At 43.1% G+C, this 19,642-nt stretch overlaps 1 protein-coding gene across 2 annotated transcripts in view, besides 2 other annotated features; it reads left to right on the top strand.

Moving 5' to 3' along the window:
- Positions 571 to 620: an enhancer, noted in NCBI's record as "active region_278". NCBI's record gives its function as "activates an Ori minimal core promoter by ATAC-STARR-seq in GM12878 lymphoblastoid cells {active_cell/tissue: GM12878}" and the evidence as "EXISTENCE:reporter gene assay evidence [ECO:0000049][PMID:35858748]".
- Positions 1,110 to 19,642, top strand: part of SDHB (succinate dehydrogenase complex iron sulfur subunit B) — a 35,311-nt gene continuing 16,778 nt past the window's right edge. For both annotated transcript variants that reach the window (NM_003000.3, NM_001407361.1), the window contains exons 1-2: positions 1,110 to 1,194; positions 10,254 to 10,381. In NM_003000.3, coding sequence (NP_002991.2) covers positions 1,123 to 1,194; positions 10,254 to 10,381 — 200 coding nt within the window. In that variant the 5' untranslated portion in view covers positions 1,110 to 1,122. The remainder of the gene's footprint in view (positions 1,195 to 10,253; positions 10,382 to 19,642) is intronic.
- Positions 1,171 to 1,230: an enhancer, noted in NCBI's record as "active region_277". NCBI's record gives its function as "activates an Ori minimal core promoter by ATAC-STARR-seq in GM12878 lymphoblastoid cells {active_cell/tissue: GM12878}" and the evidence as "EXISTENCE:reporter gene assay evidence [ECO:0000049][PMID:35858748]".

Genomic DNA, 19,642 nt, shown 5'->3' with positions numbered 1-19,642 from the left:
ATCCGGGTGGCCGGGCGCGGTGGCTCATGCCTGTAATTCCAGTACTTTGGGAGGCCGAGGTGGGTGGCTCACGAGGTCAGGAGTTCAAGACCAGCCTGGCCAAGATGGTGAAACCCCATCTCTACTAAAAACACAAAAAAATTAGCCGGGCATGATGGCGGACGCCTATAATCCCAGCTACTCGGGAGGCTGAGGCAGGGAATTGCTTGAACCCGGGAGGCGGAGGTTGCAGTCAGCCGAGATCGCGCCACTGCACTCCAGCCTGGGAGACAGAGCGATACTCCATCTCAAAAAAAAGAAAAAAAAAAAAACTACCCGGGTATGGTGGCTCACACGCCTGTAGTCCCAGCTACTCTGGAGGTGGGAGGATCGCTTGAGCCTGGGAAGTCGAGGCTGCAGTGAGCCAAGACTGCACACCGGCCTGGGCAACAGAGTGAGACCCTGTCTGAAAAAAAAAAAAAAAATTGGCCGGGCGCAGTGGCTCATGCCTGTAATTCCAGCACTTTGGGAGGCCAAGGTGGGCGGATCACGAGGTCAGGAGTTCAAGACCAGTCTGGCCAAGATGATGAAACCCCGTCTCTACTAAAAATACAAAAAATTAGCCGGGTGTGATGGTGTGCGCCTGTAATCCCAGCTACTCGGGAGGCTGAGGCAGGAGAATCGCGTGAACCCGGGAGGCGGAGGTTGCAGTGAGCCAAGATCGCGCCATTGCACTCCAGCCCGGGAAACAGTGCGAGACTCCATCTCAAACAAACAAACAAAAATTCCAGGAATAAAGAGGTTGAAATCGGGGCAGGGACCCGGATAGGATGGCTCCGCCCCATCTAAGTCTTAGCCCCACCCCCTGAAAGTCGCCCTGCCTCTCAGACTCCTCCCCTTTCTGAGAAGGTCACGGGGGAAGCCAAATGGGCATGCGCCGCTACTGCGCTATTGCGCACGCTCGCTGTGCTTGCCCCGCCTTCCCTCCGCCCACCCGGGAAACCGGAAGCCGCCTCCCACTTGGTTGCTCGTACGCGGCTAGTGGGTCCTCAGTGGATGTAGGCTGGGCGCCGCGATGTTCGACGGGACACCGGCGGAGAGCGACCTCGGGGTTAAGGGGTGGGGCTGACGTCAGGAGCCAAGATGGCGGCGGTGGTCGCCCTCTCCTTGAGGCGCCGGTTGCCGGCCACAACCCTTGGCGGAGCCTGCCTGCAGGTGAGTCCTGGAGCCTCAGAGAGGGAAAAGTCAGGAAAGCCACAGAGACTGCCTGGAGCTGATGGGGCTGCGGAGAGACTGAGGAAGCATAGGGCAAGGCCTCAGGGAGATGGAGGACCTCCTCCCCCTGGTGCAGTGCTTTGGTTTGGCTTCGAGCATCCCTGTCAAGTTATCTTTCTGCGCCTCGCAGCAGCTTGTGAGTTAGGGCACGGGCAATTTTTTACAGCTAAGGGTGCGGGGGGGGGGGACGTTCAGAAAGGGGACTTGAATTGCTCAAGGTCACATGGCAAGCGAATGACTGCTGGAACCAGAATTTGAATCCAGACATTGGAGTTCCAAGCCCTTTTTCTGCCACCAAACTATCGCCTCTGTAGAAAAGGGAGACCTGCGGGGTGTGAAGGATGGGAATTGGGAAGCGAGGTAATTCCTCAAGGGTGCGAGGTTGAGGACCGGGATGGGTGAGGAAAGGACATGTGAATTGTTGGGGACAGGGCAGGGGAAGGGAGAGATGGAGGGAAATGCACCCAGCCCCCTACCTCGAAGGATCCCGGAGGTGGGTGGTGGGGGTTGCAGGAAAGACTGGGTTCCTTAAAGCAGTGTCACCACAGTTTCACTAGTATCCTCTCAGTGTTTCTGACTCTAAAGGTCATATAATAATACGGACCTCATAGAGTTGACATGGAATGACAGGTAGAGGGCTTGGCGCTGTTCTTGTTTATTACTATGCCGTGTGCAGTAACAGATTTTCCCACGCCCCTTGTATGGCCAAGAAACAACACATTTCTGACCTGCCTTCTAAGTGGGAACATTTAGAAGGGGAAGGGAAATTGCTTTTGTATACATAAGGGACTAAGGATTTGCAAATCCTTTCTAAGTCTGTTCCTCTTCTGGGATTCTCAACAACCCCTTTAAGGTGGGCAAGCAAGAATCCTTACCCTCCTTTTTGGAGCTTTGAAAACTTGAGGCCCCCAGAAAGAAAATTTTTGGCTTGCTCAAAATATCACATTCCCAAGAAGCAGACCTGAGGCAGTTTTTTAACATGGTACCAGAAAAACTCCTTAGCATAGATCTTGGGACATGGTTGGTGTCCAAGAAATTTTAGTTCCTCTTCCTCTCTTGCACTTAAATGAGGACATCTTTCATCTTAAGTGCCTGCTATGGCTGCATAACACAGTACATATTGCCCATGTTCCAATCCTGGTTCTATCCAGCATGCTGTGTGTGAACTTGGATCCACTCTGTCTGCATCAGCCTTTCTGAAAAGGGGAGATAGAGGAAGAAGACAGCCTACCAGAGCCTCAAGCTGACATCCTCTCAGTATTAAATTGATGATTGATAATGAGCTTGTTTACCTGTTCCTTTTATAGTTGCTGAGCAAACAATTAAATTGTGAGAGCCCCACTAACGAGAGAGTTCCAAGCCCCTCTTCTAAGAATGCATTGTAGAAAAGGCTAATTTCATAGGTCATTTTTGTAATTCCAGGCAAGGTCTTTGCAGGGCCTCCTGAGGGCAACAGAAAATAGAAGAGCCCCAAGGCCTCCCCTTCCTTGTGGGAATGTACATGTATACCCACAAAAGCCACCTCAAAAGAATTCAGTAATGAGCTTGGTGTGTTACCTGTGGGTAACATTCAGGTTCAGGTTCTGAATTCTTTTTATGCTTATAGTCTGACCACTGAACCACAATTCTGCCTGTAAGTATTTGACTGTAGTATATTAACTATTGTTTGTGTTGCCTTATTTCTTCATCTGGACTATGAACTCCTTTAGGACAAGAACTACCTACTTAAAAGTGTGTATCTTGCCAGGTGCAGTGGCTCATGCCTGTAATTCCAGCACTTTGGGAGGCCAAGGTGGGTGGATCACCTGAGGTCAGGAGTTCAAGACCAGCCCGGCCAACATGGTGAAACCCCGTCTCTACTAAAAAAATAAAAAAAAAATTAGCTGGGCGTGGTGGTGGGCGCCTATAATCCTAGCTACACAGGAGGCTGAGGCAGGAGAATTGCTTGAACCTGGGAGGTGGAGGGTGCAGTGAGCTGAAATCGCACCATTGCACTCCATCCTGGGCGACAAGAGCGAAACTCAGTCTCAAAAAAAAAAAAAAAATTTAAAAAATGTGCATCTTGTTCCTTAGGCTGGCAGGGCTAGGATACCTATTTACAAATCAGAATAATACAAAGACTGATAAGGTTGCCAATCTTGTAGAGCAAAAATTTTTTTCTGGGCTATGCTAGAAACTTGACCCCCCCTCCCCCGGGTTATCTTATGAGGCAGATATTAATACTACCCACCCTTTACAAAGGAAGAAATAGAATCCGAAAAGCTAATAATTTGCAGAAGAATACACAGCTTGTAAGTGATAGAGCTTGGATTTCAAGCATCACCAATCACACTTTTCAGCAAGCCTGCACCTTGTATTTTACTCAGGCTTATCTTCATACAGTCCTTTTTGCTTTCTTCCTCTCTATTTCCCCACCTTCTTCTCTGGCCTCCAAATCTTTATCCACTCCATCCAACTCCAAGCCTGCACCCTAAGGACACTTTACTGGAGGAACAACAACCAGCCTTCAGCACCATTCAGAATTCACCCTTCTCAGTTCAGTTGTTGCTTACCTTGCTTAAATTATAAACTATGAAATTCATACTATCCAAGATTTCCTAGGAATGTACTTTCTGCCTTGAATACTCATTAGTCTTTAGATTAACGTAAAAATGCTTTCAAGGGGCCCTCTTTCCTTTTGGATTTGTAGTATAAATTGCTGGGCAGGTAACAAGGGGAAAAAAATCATATAGTCTCATTGTATGATTAGAGCAACAACTTCTTTTGTTCCTTGGATCTCATTGTGAAATGGAATTATCTTTTTGCACTGTTGCGTTTTATGTTTGCGTTTTCACCACTGGTTATAATGGCTAAAAGGTTGGATTTTTGAATCAAGTGACCTGTGTTGCTATATGATCCTATCCTCGTCTTTTAACTGGGAACAACAAAACATTTTTCATAGAGATGTTATAAAGATTAGAGATTATTTGGCACCGTGTGTGACAGATTATAAAGGTTCGATGAATGAAATCTGGCAAATTTTTAGATATATGTATTCAACGAATTTTTTGGTGGAACACAGATAACATAATCCTGAGAATTAACTCTTTGTACAGACCTCAAGATGAGCAAAGCTCTATCACTTTCAGAACCATGACCACTCTGGTGATTTTGATTTCAGAATCTTCTTTCATTCTGGTAAACCCCCTTTGCCCCACCAAATATTGTATGAAATACATTTTTTTTTTTTTTTGAGACAGAGTCACGCTCACGTTGTTGCCCAGGATGGAGTGCAGTGGCGGAATCTTGGCTCACCGTACCCTCCGCCTCCCGGATTTCAAGCAATTCTCCTGCCTCGGCCTCCCAAGTAGCTGAGATTACAGGTGCCCGCCATCGTGCCTGTCTAATTTTTTTGTATTTTTAGTAGAGACGGGGTTTCACCGTGTTGGCCAGGCTGATCTCGAACTCCTGACCTCAGGTAATCCACCTGCCTCGGCCTCCCAAAGTACTGGGATTACAGGCATGAGCCACCACGCCTGGCCTATAAAATACATTTTTGACACAAAACAAATTTAAATTAGTTGTACTGAAAAAAAAAAAATGATGACATTTTGGGGCACTCCAAAACTGATGTTGGGATATGTCGACTTAGATATTCAGTGTAGTACATCCTGGCATTGCTCTTATTTCACATCATTCATATGATAAGACTTTTTAAAAATTTAAATTAGCTCTAATACAAACTTAGTCTCTTTTGGAAAGATAATACGTGATCAATTATCCGTGTAGAGTGGATATGAAACAGATATTTAAATGTTATAAAGAAATGTTGAAGGGAAAACCTCATTGCAGGTAACCACAGTCATCCCACAGGCCTTGTGGTTCTGATACCCAGCTTGATAGAGCCTAATGCCTGTTGCCCACTGACAATACTAAATCAGGCTTTAGAACTAGGGGGTTATGCCTGGCACAGTGGCTCACACCTGTATGTAATCCAGCACTTTGGGAGGCTGAGGCAGGTGGATCACGACATCAGGAGTTCAAGACCATCCTGGCTAAAACGGTGAAACCCCATCCCTACTAAAAATACAAAAAAGTTAGCCGGGCGTGTGACACGCGCCTGTAATCCCAGCTACTTGGGAGGCTGAGGCAGGAGAATTGCTTGAACCCAGGAGGCAGAGAGATCTCGCCACTCCACTCCAGCCTGGGTGACAGAGTGAGACTGTCTCACAAAAAAAAAAAAAAAAAAAAAAAAAAAAAAGAACTAGGGGATTATGCTCCAGTCCCAGATTCTGTTTAAAGCCCGGTTAGGGGCCAGGCGCGGTTGCTCACACCTGTAATCCCAACACTTTGGAACGCTGAGGCAGGTGGATCACTTGAGGCCAGGAGTTTGAGCCCAGCCTGGCCAAATGGCAAAACCTTGTCTGTACTAAAAATACAAAAATTAGCTGGACTTTATGGCACATGCCTGTAATCCCAGCTACCCGGGTGGCTGAGACAGGAGAATTGCATGAGCCTGAGGGGTGGAGGTTGCAGCGATCCAAGATCGCGCCACTGCACTCCAGCCTGAGCAACAGAATGAGACTCTCCAAAAAAGAAAAAAAAAAGTCCAAGTTAGGGCCAGACACAATGGCTCACACCTGTAATCCCAACACTTTGGGAGGCTGAGATGGGAGGATTGCTTAAGCCCAGAAATTCCATACCAGCTTAGCCAACATGGCAAGACCCTGTCTCTACAAAAATTAGCTGGACATGATGGTGTGCACCTATAGTCCCAGCTACTTGGGAGGCTGAGTCAGGATGATCGCCTGAGCCCAGGAGTTAAAGGCTGCAGTGAGCCATGATCTCCAGCCTGGGCAATAAAGCTAGACCATGTGTCTATAAAAATAAAAAATAAAGGCCGGGCAAGGTGGCCTGTACCTATAATCCCAGCACTTTGGGAGGCCAAGGCAGGCGGATCACCTGAGGTCAGGAGTTCAAGACCAGCCTGGCCAACATGGTGAAACCCCGTCTCTACTAAAAATATAAAAATTAGCTCGGCGTGGTGGCAGGCACCTGTAGTCCCAGCTACTCAGGAGGCTGAGGCAGAAGAATCACTTGAAGTCGGGAGGTGGAGGTTGCAGTGAGCCGAGATCGCGCCATTGTACTCCAGCCTGGGGGACAAGAGTGAGACCCCATCTCAAAATAAATAAATAAATAAATATTTTAAAAAATAAATGAAAAATAAAAGTGTCCAAATTAGAAGTAAAAACTTGAAGTAGCCCCATTTTTTAAAAGGCATATTGTCCCACTTACCCTACTATCTGCCTCAGGCACAGCAGCCACCCACTCTGGAAAATAGTTTTGTCAGTTGCTTAAAAAAAACTAAACTTGTAGCTACCATACAGCCCAACAATTACACACCTGGGTGTTTATCCTGAGAAATGAAGATGTAACGTTCACACAGAAATTTGTCCACAAATGTTCATCTCAGCTTTATTCATGTCACCAAAAATTAGAACACCCCCAATGTCCCTCAGTAGTTACATGGTTAAGCAAATTGTGGTACATGATACCTTGGAGTGCTACTCAGCTATAACAAGAAAAAAGCTATTGCTGTACACAGCAACTTGGATGAATCTCCGGAGAATTCGGCTGAATAAAAAAAGCCAATTCCAAAAGGCTACATACCAGATGATTATATTGATATAACATTCTTGAAATGACCGAATTTGAGAAGTAGAGAACAGATTAGTGATTGCTAGGGCTTACGGAGTACAGGGGAGGTAGGGTGGGAGGAAGTGGACAGGGCTATAAAAGGGCAATGTTAGTGATCCTGTGCTTATGGGAATGTCCCCTATCTTGACTAGCACTGTCAGTATTCTGGTTGTGCTGGTGTGCTACAGTTTGCAAGATGTTCCTGTTGGGGAGACTGGGTAAAGAGTATGTGGGCCCTGGCATGGTGGCTCATGCCTATATCCCAACTCTTCGGGAGGGCCAGGCAGAGGATCACTTGGGGCCAGGAGTTCAAGACCAGCCTAGGCAACACAGTGAGACCCCTATCTCTACAAAAATAAATGTAAAAAAACTAACTGGGCATGGTGGCGCATGCCTGTAGTCCTAGCTACTGGGGAAGCTGAGATGGGAGGATCGCTTGAGTCCAGAAGGTTGAGGCTGCAGTGAGCTGTGATCATGCCACTGCACAATCAGTGACAGAGCAAAACTCTCTCTCTTTTTTTTTTTTTTTTAGCTTGAGTTTCACTTTGTCACCCAGGGTGGTATACAGTGGCACAGTCTTAGCTCACTGCAACCTTTACCTCCCAAGTTCAAGCCATTCTCCTGCCTCAGCCTCCCTAGTAGCTGGGATTACAGGCACACGCCACCACACCCTGCTAATTCGTTTTTTTGTATTTTTAGTAGGGACGGGGTTTCACCATGTTGGCTGGGCTGGTCTTGAATCCCTGATCTCAGGTGATTTCCCAACCTCAGCCTCCCAAAGTGCTGGGATTACAGGTGAGAAGAGTATGTGGAGTCTCAGTATTATTTTCTTCTTTTTGTTTTGTTTTGTTTCTTTGAAACAGCGTCTCACTCTGTCACCCAGGCTGGAGTGCAGTGGCGCAATCTTGGCTCACTGCAATCTCCGTCTCCCAGGGTCAAGCGATTCTCCTGCCTCTGCCTCCCGAGTAGCTGGGATTACAGACATGTGCCACCACACCGGGCTAATTTTTGTATCTTTAGTAGAGACGGAGTTTCACCATGTTGGCCAGGCTGGTCTTGAACTCCTGACCTCAAGTGATTCGTCTGTCTTGGCCTCCCAAAGTACTGGGATACAGGTGTGAGCCACTGCACCTGGCCTCAGTATTATTTTCTATAAATGCATATGAATCTATAATTATTAAAAAATAAAAAGGTTGGCCAGGCACGGTGGCTCACGCCTGTAATCCTAGCAGTTTGGGAGGCCAAGGCAGGCAGATCACCTGAGGTTGGGAGTTTGAGACTACCCTGACCAACATAGACAAACCACATCTCTACTAAAAATACAAAATTAGCCGGGCCTGGTAGCACATGCCTGTAATCCCAGCTACTCGGGAGACTGAGGCAGGAGAATTGCTTGAACCGGGGAGGCGGAGGTTGTGGTGAGCCAAGATTGCACCATTGCACTCCAGCCTGGGCAACAAGAGCAAAACTCAGTCTCAAAGATAAATAAATAAATAAATAGTTTAATTTTTTAAAAAAGCATTTAACTATGGTTATATGCAGTAACATATGAATCTCAGAAGCATTATGTTGAGTGAAAGAAGCTAGACATGAGACTACGTACCGTATGATGCCATTTATATGAATTCTGTAAAAGGCAGACTCGTGATGATAGCTGATCAGTTGCTAAGGGTAGGAAAAGGGGACTTATGTTTGCCATCAAGGGCACAAAAGACCTTTTTGGATGGAAATACTCTGTTGTAATTGTGGTAGGATTACATTGCTTTGTCAAAACTCATTATACCCTTAAAATTAGTGAATTTTATTATAATGAATTATACCTTATTAAATCTCACAGAAAAAAGACCAAAAAAAAAATGGGACATTAAGCAAGCAAAGTCCACTGGAGTTGATACCTTCAGGAATCTTTCCTCTCACTTCCTCCCAAATACCACAAGGTGGCATTAGATGTTCATGTCAGTTTACAAAATGGGGTTCCCGGTGAAAAACATTTGTAGAAATGGCTTTCCTTTTGTTGATGATTTTAGCCAGCTTGGTGATAAGGTAAAACATAGCTTTCATCTTAACTTTCATTTTCTTCATATATTTTCTTCTTTTCTACTGTTAGCTGATGTTTGTATTTTCAGCTTCAGTTAATACGGGACACTTTACCAAGAAATAATGTTACTGGTAGACGGTCTTGACCACAAGTCGTCAAGGTTTTTAGCATGTTGAACAAAAAATTGGACAAAACACACAAGCAAAGCAACAGAAGACGAAAGCATAGATTTATTGAAATGAAAGTACACTCCATAGAGTAGGAGTGGGATTGAGCAAGTGGTTCAAGAGCCCCAGCTGCACAGTCTTCTGGGATTAAAGTACCCTGTACGGGTTTCCTATTAGTTACACCCTATGCAAATGAAGACTTGGCCCGAGACGAATCAGAGGCTGTAGTGAAGACTCCCTGTCTCTAAACCCTGTTCTCCTGCCTCAGTAATAAACACCACTGCATCTTTTTGTAATTAGTCAATTAACCTTCCGAGTTTTTACTTTTCTATATCAGTTTATTTTAAAAATTAGCAGTCCTGGAGTATAGTCTTTTCTTTCTTTTTTTCTTTTTTATTTTGTATTTTTGAAAAAGAGTCTCACTCTGTTGCCCAGGCTAGAGTGCAGTGGCATGATCTTGGCTCACTGCAGCCTCAACCTCTCGGGCCCAAGCAGTCCTCCCACTTCTGCCTCCTGAGACGCACACTACGACACCCAGCTAATTTTTTTATTTTTTGTAGAGATGGGGTTTTGCCATGTTTCCCAGACTGCTCTCAAACTCATGGGCTCAAGCAATTCTCTCACTTCTGCCTCCCAAAGTGCTGAGACTGCAGGCATGAGCCACCACCCTCAGACCACACCCCACACTCCTTCCCCTTAATTCTGGTTTGTCAAGCCTCCACTTAGATGACATGTGAGGAAGCCTTCTCTGACTCTTCACTCATTGAAGTCTCTGCTGTATTCATCCAGAGCTCCCTGTACTTTCCCAACAGTATCGCTCTTTATATTCATCGTGAATGTTTAATTTAACTCTTGTTCACTACAAAGTAAGTTCTGTGAAGATGAAGGTTTTTGTGTATTAAGTGCTGTGTCACTAGCCCCTAATACCATGTCTGATATATTAGCATATGATAGGTGCTTAATACTTGTTGGATATTGAATGCCTGCCTTTTCTAAGAAGATTATGTGTCAGTAATGTGTGAGTTTATATCCAGCGTTACATCTGTTGTGCCAGCAAAATGGAATTATCTTGTATTTCTAATTTTTTTTTCCTTTTTGTGAACTTTAAAAAATTTCAGGCCTCCCGAGGAGCCCAGACAGCTGCAGCCACAGCTCCCCGTATCAAGAAATTTGCCATCTATCGATGGGACCCAGACAAGGCTGGAGACAAACCTCATATGCAGACTTATGAAGTTGACCTTAATAAGTGAGTATCTCTGTGAAAGCCAGCTATTGAAGGAGAGTTCTTGATTTGATTTAGGGACATGCTTTTCACATCCTTGGAAGGCTTAAAAATCTGAGATCATCCGATGGCTCTGTTTTTAAAACAAGAATGAGCTTGGGCCGGGCACGGTGGCTCACGCCTATAATCCCAGCACTTTGGGAGGCTCAGGCGGGCAGATCATCTGAGGTTGGGAGTTCAAGACCAATGTGGCCAACATGGTGAAACTCCCCTCTCTACTAAAAATACAGAAATTAGCTGGGTATAGTGGCTCATGCCTGTAATCCCAGCCACTCAGGAGGCTGGGGCACAAAAATTGCTTGAACCCAGGAGGCAGAGGTTGCAGTGAGCTGAGATCATGCCATTGCACTCCAGCCTGGGCAACAGAGTGAGACTCTGTCTCCAAAAAAAAAAAAAAAATGAGGTTGTTACCTGATTCAGAAGAATAATACCAAAATAATTCCCAAATGAAAGTATGACAAATTTCTAGAAATACTGGTATAATTAACTTTATGCACAGTATTTAAAGTCATTTAATATATTACCATTTTTTTAATGCTGAATGTATTGATTATATCTTATACATCTGGACCTGTGTTTTCTATAATAATAACAGAACCGCCAGAAACTTGCCTTGAATGGACAAGGTAGGGATGTGGTTAAAATGTTAAAAATTGGACTGGCGTGTTAGTTTTCTATTTCTGTCAGAGCAAATTACCACAAACTTAGTGACTTAAAACAACCTAAATGTATTATCTTATAGTTCTGTAGGTCAAAAGACTGGTATAGTCTCATCAGACTAAAATCAAGGTGTCAGCAGGCTGCATTCCTTTCTGGAGCCTAGAGGAAAATATTTTTTGCTCATTTGCGCTATTGGTGGAATGCAGTTCCTTGTGGTTGTGAGCCCGAGGTCTCTGTCATTCTGCTGACTGTAAGCTGAGGGCTGTTCCAAGCTTCCAGAGGCTGCCGCACTCCTTGGCTCTTGGCCTCTTCTTCCATCGTCAAAAGCAGCAGCAGCAGGTTGAGTTCTTCTTCACATCACATCTCTCAAAACCACTCTTTTTCCAACATCTTTCACTTTTAAGGAACTCCACAGTTAGCCAAAGAAAAGAAAGAATCTAGCAAGTTAGTCTCTAGCCTCCTGCTGCTCCACTCCACGCCCCCATATAACCAGAACTGTTCTCTGATCTGTTTTATGTGTAAGTGAATAAGTGTTTTATTTGTTTCAAACAAAAGCTTCTGTGGCACCAAAAAAAAGTTTGAATACCACGAATACTCTAAATGCTTACTTTGACTTTCTGTGGTGACAAGTAAGTGCTGTTAATGAGGTAGCATTAATTGATATATAACCTTCTTAAATAGACAAAATTTTCAAATACTCAGCAACCAAAAGTCCCTAGCAAAATTCAAAGGAATAGAAATTGCACAGACCACAGTTTTGGACCGAAATACAATAAAACTAAACTCATATTAAAAATATAAACAGGCCGGGCGCGGTGGCTCATGACTATAATCCCAGCACTTTGGGAAGCCGAGGCAGGTGGATCACTCGGGGTCAGGCATTCAAGACTAGCCTGGCCAACATGGTGAAACCCCATCTCTACTAAAATATAAAAATAAGCTGGGCGTTGTGGCAGGTGCCTGTGATCCCAGCTATTTGGGAGGCTGAGGCATGAGAATCACTTGAACCTGGGAGGCGGAGGTTGCAGTGAGCCGAGATCGTGCCACTGCACTCCAGCCTGGGTGACAGAGCAAGACTCTGTCTCAAAAAAAAAAAAAAAAAAAAAAAAACTCATAAAACAAAAAACCCTACTGCTTAGAAACTAAAAAAAAGTACACTTCTAACTATTTGATCAGGAACACGTAAAAAATATTGCCAGATACTTAGAAAATAAAGACGTTGCAAATCAAAACTTAGAGAATGTCAGAGAATGTGGCTAAAACTGGAAGAGTTAAATTCCTTTTTTTTTGAGTCAGGGTCTCGCTGTCACCCAGGTTACAGTGCAATGGCATGCTCACGGTTCACTGTAGCCTCAACCTCCCAGGCTCAAGCAATCCACCTGCCTCATCCTCCTGAGTAACTGGGACTATAGGCACATGCCACCACACCCAGCTAAGTTTTGTATTTTTTGTAGAAATTGAGTTTCACTATGTTGCCCAGCCTGGTCTCAAACTCCTGGGCTCAAGCAATCCACCCATTTTAGCTTCCCAAAGTCCTAGGATTACAGGCATGAGCCACAGCACCCAGCCCATAACGATTTTTTAGTGATAAAAAATTTAAAGAATCTTTGGGTTTACTTCCAGTTTTGTCACAGTAGCTCTCATCAGACTAACCCTCCTACAAATAACAATGATCAACTCCGGAAAAAAATATAAGAAACAACTGCCTGAACAGTAGAGAAGGACCACGAGTGGGCAGACATTGGAGGGGAGTTGATACTTGGAAGAATGAAATGGCATTGGACAAATTACCATTTTACTCTTACATGATTTTGCTGAGGACAAGTCCAAGTTGGTATGGGAAGTAACGGGACTAACAGTTGGATGGAAAACCACAATCCGACTGGGTGCATTGGCTCATGCCTGTAATCCCAGCACTTTGGGAGGCCAAAGCAGGCCGACATGGTGAAACCCCATCTCTACTAAAAATATAAAAATTAGCCAGGCATGGTGGCACATGCCTGTAATCCCAGCCACTTGGGAGGCTAATGGGGGAGAATCACTTGAACATGGGAGGCGGAGGTTGCAGTGAGCCAAGATCACACCACTGCACTCCAGCCTGGGCAACAGAGTGAGACTCTGTCTCAAAAAAAAAAGAAAAAAAAATCTTAGCTTGAATAACGAGAAGACACATTTTGGGCCTTCCACAACCACTAGGAAATGAGGGGGAAAGCCTAGAAAGAAGAGAAACACAGAGGAGGAGCACTAAATGCTGTTCATGAACTCTGCCCACATCTTGCGTGCAGCCATATTAATTGCCTGTGTAAAATTTTAAAATCCACACTTTTCAGAAAAACATAATGCAATCCAGATTCTCTACAGCATATTAATTTTTCTTTTTTTTCTTTTTTATTTTTTTATTTTGAGTCTGAGTTTCACTCTGTCACCTGGACTGGAGTACAGTGGTGCGATCTTGGCTCACTGCAACCTCCGCCTCCCGGGTTCAAGCGATTCCCTTGCCTCAGCCTCCTGAGTAGCTGGGACTACAGGCGCGCGTCACACACCGTCTAATTTTTGTAGTAGAGTTGGGGTTTCGCCATGTTGGCCAGGCTGGTCTTGATCTCCTGGCCTCAGGTGATCCACCCACCTCAGCCTCCCAAAGTGCTGTGATTACAGGCATGAGCCACCGCGCCCAGTGGAATTTAAAGAATTTTTAAATTTCCTCATAGATAAAGGAAATTATGCTCATAATGAAATAGGAAATTTCAGTGGAGAAGTAGAAACTATTGAAAAGCCAAATGGAAAATCTAGTACTGAAAAATATAATATTTGAAAAGGAAAATTTACCGGATGGCCTTAACAGCAGATTGGAAATGGCAATAAGAAGAATCAGCAAACTTAAAAATATTAATAGAAATTATATAGTTTTTTGTTGTTGTTTGTTTGTTTGTTTCTTGAGACGGAGTCTTGCTCTGTCATCCAGGCTGGAGTGCAGTGGCGCAATCTTGGCTCACTGCAACCTCTGCCTTCCAGGCTCAAGCGATTCTCCCACCTCAGCCTCCTGAGTAGCTGGGATTACAGACGTGCACCACCACGCCCAGCTAATTTGTTGTATTTTTAGTAAAGACAAGGTTTCGCCATGTTGGCAGGCTGGTCTTAAACTCCTGACCTCAAGTGATTCACCCGCCTCGGCCTCCCAAAGTGCTGGGATTCCAGACGTGAGCCACCATGCCCGGCCGAAATTATCTGTTCTTAAGAAAAAGAAAGATTTTTGAAAAGGGAAAGCGCTCCTGTGATCTATGGAACAGCATCAAAAGGTCTAGGGCAGGCATGGTGGCTCATGTCTGTAATCCCAGCACTTTGGGAAGCTGAGGCAAAAGGATCACTTGAGGCCAAGAGTCCAAGACCAGCTTGGGCAACCTGTGAGACCTTGTCTCTACTAAAAAAATTTTTTCTTTGAAAAATTAGCCAGGCGTGGTGGCACATACCTGTAGTCCTAGCTACTTGGGATGCTGAAGCAGGAAGACAGCTTGAGCTTAGGAACTTGAGGCTGCTATGAGCTATAATTGTGCCACTGTACTCCAACCTGGGCAGCAGAGTAAGACCATGCATGGGTGAGTGGATGGATGGATGTAACACACATGTAATTGGACTTCCAGAAAAAATGGAGAGAAAGAAAAGGCAAAATAAATATCTATTTGAAGAACTCATGGCCAAGAATTTCCTGAGCCCATGAAAGACATAATTCACATATCCAAGAAGCTTAGTGAACCCCAACTAGGTAAATAAAAATAAAACTATGCCCTGTTCCATGAAGTCAAGTTGCTGACGACCAAAAATAGGAGAAAATCTTGAAAGCAGCTGGAGAAAAACAACATGTTACATACAAGGAAACCAGGTGAAAAATTGCTGACTTCTCATCAGAAACTAGAGGCCAAGAGACAGTGAAATACCATCTTTAAAGTACTAAAAGAAAAATTGTCAGCCTGGAATTCCACGTTCAGAAAAAAAGATTCTTCAAGATGATTATGAAATAAAAACATTTTCAGGTAAACAGAAAAGAAAAGAATTCATGGCCAGAAGACCAGTACTACATGAAATGCTATAGGAAGTTAGTCAGGCTGAGGAAAAATAATACCAGGTGGAAACTTGGCTCTTAGAAAAGGAATGAAGAGCGCTGGACATAGTAGATATAAAAGGATTTTTCCTCTTAATTTTGTTAAAATTAATATGACTGTTTAAAGCAAAGTTATTATATTATATTCTGTAATATATAACTCACATAGATGTAAGGCATATGATAACTATAGCGTAGGGGCTGGGAACAGCAGGTAAATAGACCTATAATAATGTAGCAGGATTCTTGCATTACATAAAGTTGCACAATAGTAACTCTAAACAGGTATAAAGAGTTAAAGATGTAAATTATGTAAAGTATAATTCTAGAGTAACTTTTTTTCTTCTTCTGAGACAGGGCCTCACTCTGTCATCCAGGCTGGAAGGCAGTAGCACAATCATGGCTCACTAAACCCTCCCAGGCTCAACCAAGCAATCCTCCCTCCCTGAGACCTCCTAGGCTCAAGCAATCCTCCCACCTCAGCCTCCCATGTCCCTGGGACTACAGGCATGTACCACTATGCCTGGCCAATTTTTTTTTTTTTTTTTTTTTTGTAGAGACAGGGTCTCACTATGTTGCCCACACTGGTCTCCTGGGCTCAAGCAGTCCTCCTGCATCAGCCTTCCAAAGTGCTAGGATTACAGGTGTGAGCCACCATGCCCAGCCAAGAGTAATTATTTTTTTAAATGCAAAGAGATATAGCTAAAAAGCCAATATATAAATTAAAATTGATTTCTAAAAATATTTACTTAGTCTAAAAATATTACTTAGAATAAGAAAAGAAGAAGAGAACAGCAGCAAAATGATGGAACAAATAGTAAAATGATAGACCTAAATCCGGCCACGTCAATAACTGTATTGAATGTAAAAACTATTAAATACTCCCAGTTAAAAAGCCAACAGTGTCAGAATAGATTTTTTTAAAAAAAGCAAAACCCAACCATATGCTGTTTTAAGTGCAAGAAAAAGCGCAAGAAAAAATAAAGAAATACATTTGAAAATCAATGTGATTCACCATATTAACAGAATAAAGGGGGAAAACCCATTTGATTGCTTTAATATATGCAGAAAAGCATTTGGCAAGATTCAACACTCATTCATGATTTTTAAAAATGATAATGGGTTAAATAATTTTCACAGTGTGTATATTTTAACAGAATAAATAAATAAAACTATAAGGAATTTGAATTAAAAGGAATAGTCCTAATTTTACTTAAATAATAACTGCTAATAGGAAAAGAAGGGAACTTCATCAGCCAGATGAAGACTGTGAAAATCACAGCTAATAGCATACTTTATTGTGAGATATTGAACACTTTCCCCATAAGATCAGGAATAAGGAAGGTTGTCCACTCTGTATTTGAGTTCAACATTGTACTGAAGGTTCTAGCCAGTCCATGAAAGGCAAGTAAAAGAAGTAGAAGGCATATGTAAGCTTGGAAAGGAAGAAATTAAACTAACTGTAGTCACAGGTAACATGATTGTTTACATAGAAAATTTCAGGGAGTCTACAAAACTAAAAGAATAAGTAAATTTAGCAAGGCTGCAGGATGTAAGGTCAATATGCAAAATACTATTTGTGTGTGTGTGTATTTCAATGGCTACAGATAATTCTATTTATGCTAACATCAGCCATTCAAAATTTTACTGGAGGCTTAGCCAGGGAAATTGGGTGAGAAAAAGAAAGAAAAGGAAATTGGAAAAGAAGAAGTAAAACTGTCTCTCATAGATAACATAATCTTTTACACAAAACCTTGGGCAGGCTCAGTGGCTTGTGCTTATAATCCCAGCATTTTGGAAGGCTGAAGCAGGAGAATTTTTTTTTTTTGAGACAGAGTTTTCGCTCTTGTTGCCCAGGCTGGAGTGCAATGGCACAATCTTGGCTCACCGCAACCTCCGCCTCCCGGATTCAAGCAATTCTCCTGTCTCAGCTTCCCAAGTAGCTGGGATTACAGGCGCCTGCCACTACGCCCAGCTAATTCTTTTGTATTTTTGGTGGAGATGGGGTTTCTGCGTGTTGGTCAGGCTGGTCTCGAACTCCTGACCTCAGGTGATCTGCCCACCTCGGCCTCCCAAAGTGCTGGGATTGCAGGTGTGAGCCACTGTGCCTGGCCTGAAGCAGGAGAATTGCTTGAGCCTGGGAGTTGGAGACCAGCCTGGGCAACAAAATGAGACCCCCATCTCTACAAAAAAGCAAACAAAAAATTAGCCAGGCTGGGTGCGATGGCTCACGCCTGTAATCCCAACATTCTGAGAGGCCAAAGCAGGCAGATGACTTGAGTCCAGGAGTTCAAGACCACCCTGGACAACATGGCAAAACCCTGTCTCTACTAAAAATACAAAAATTAGCCAGGCATGGTAGCACACACCTGTAATCCCAGCTTCTTGGAAGGCTAAGGCACAAGAATTGCTTGAACCTAGGTGGCAGAGGTTGCAGTGAGCCAAGATCACGCCACTGCACTCCAGCCTGGGCAACAGAGCAAGACTGTGTCTCAAAAAATTTGCCAGGTGTGGTGGCACACTCCTGTAGTCCGAGCTACTTGGGAGGGTGGGGTGGGAGGATCACTTGAACCCAGGAGGTCGAGGCTGCAGTGAGCCATGATTCCATGCCCTACACTCCAGCCTGGGCAACAGAGGGAGACGCTGTCTCAAAAAAAAAAAAGAAAAGAAAATATAAGACATTGCCCCCTAGGAACTATTAGAACTAATGAACAAATTCAGCAAGGTTGGAGGACACAAAACTGGTATACAGAAATCAAATGTAGTTTAGTTTTTTATTATGCATAATTTGTCCATGTTTATTTCAACCTATGTCTGTCAGTCTTCATTTTATATTGTACCATGTTTTAATTATAGTTCTATTTCCTTCTAATCCGACTCTGAAACCCTACTTTGTAGCTATGTATACACACACAAAAAATAGCTATATTCTTTCATTTTCACAACAGCATAATTCTTTTTCTGAAAATACTGGCGTGTAGCAGATATTAGCAGATAAATGTATTTTTCTAGGCTAGGCATGGTGGCTCACACTTGTAATACTAGCACTTTCTTTGTGAGGCCAAGGCAGGAGGATTGCTTGAGGCCAGGAGTTTTGAGACCAGCCTGGGCAACAATAGCAAGACTTAGTCTCTACAGAAAAAATGTGTGTGTGTGTGTGTATACATATATATTTATATATGTATTTATATTTATATATTCATATTTATATAAATATTTATATTTATATATTCATATTTATATAAATATTTATATTTATATATTCATATTTATATAAATATTTATATTTATATATGTAAAACCCTGCTTACCTAGAAAAAAGCCTGTAAGTACTGTTAAAAAAACAAAAATTGGATTTCTATACACTAGCAATGAACAATCCTAAAATGAAATTTAAAAACTATTTTCCATATAACAGCATCAAAAAAGAAATTCTTAGGAACAAATTATATGGGCAATAAGACAAAACCCCATCTCTACAAAAAAAGTTAGCTGGGCTTGATGACCTTCCTGTGCCTATAGTCCCAGCTACTTGGAGGCTGAGGTGGGAGAATCACTTGAGCCTGGGAGGTCAAACCTGCAGTGAGCTGTGATCACAACACTGCACTCCATCCAGCCTGGGCGACAGAGTGAGATCCTGTCTCAAAAATCAAATAAGTAAAAGACTTATATGCTGAAAAACTGTAAAACATTGTTGAAAGAAATTTAAGAAGACATAAATAAATGGAAAGACATGCCCTGTTTGTGGGTTGGAAGACTTAATGTTGTTAAGGAGGCAGTGGTCTCCAAATTGATTTCCAGATTCATTGCAATCCCCATCAAAATCCCACCTGCCTTTTCTGCAGAAGTTGACAAGTTGATTCTAAAAATCTTATAGAAATGCAAGGGACCCAGAATATCAAACAATTTTGGTATCTATGTAAAATCTGAGAAAATTTATGTTGTACTCTTTAATGAGCCCTACCTATTAGGAAATTTAGCATGAAACAGCTTAAAGAGAGGACTTTGACTTTTTAATATTTTTCTCTGTCCCAGTATGATCTGCAGGATTACTTTTTACCTTTGATTTGAATTTATTTATTTATTTATCTATTTATTTATTTATTTTTTTGAGACAGTCTCGCTCTGTCTCCCAGGCTGGAGTGCAGTGGTGCGGTCTCGGCTCACTGCAACCTCCGCCTCTGGGGTTCAAGCAATTTTCCTGCCTCAGCCTCCCAAGTAATTGGGACTACAGGCACGTGCAACCACACCCAGCTAATTTTTTGTATTTTTAGTAGAGACGGTTTCACCACGTTAGCCAGGATGGTCTCAATCTCCTGACCTCATGATCCACCCGCCAAGGCCTCCCAAAGTGCCTCCCAAAGTGCTGGGATTACAGGCGTGAGCCACCCACCTGGCCAATTTGAAATTTTTATAGGCTGCAAATATTAGCCTTTGTAATGTAAAAAAAACAAAGATGTTGTTGTCAT

Source organism: Homo sapiens, chromosome 1 (genome assembly GCF_000001405.40).
Source record: "Homo sapiens chromosome 1, GRCh38.p14 Primary Assembly".
Taxonomy (NCBI): domain Eukaryota; kingdom Metazoa; phylum Chordata; class Mammalia; order Primates; family Hominidae; genus Homo; species Homo sapiens.
Note: the sequence above shows the minus strand (reverse complement) of the source record. Positions and strands in the feature narration are given on the sequence as shown.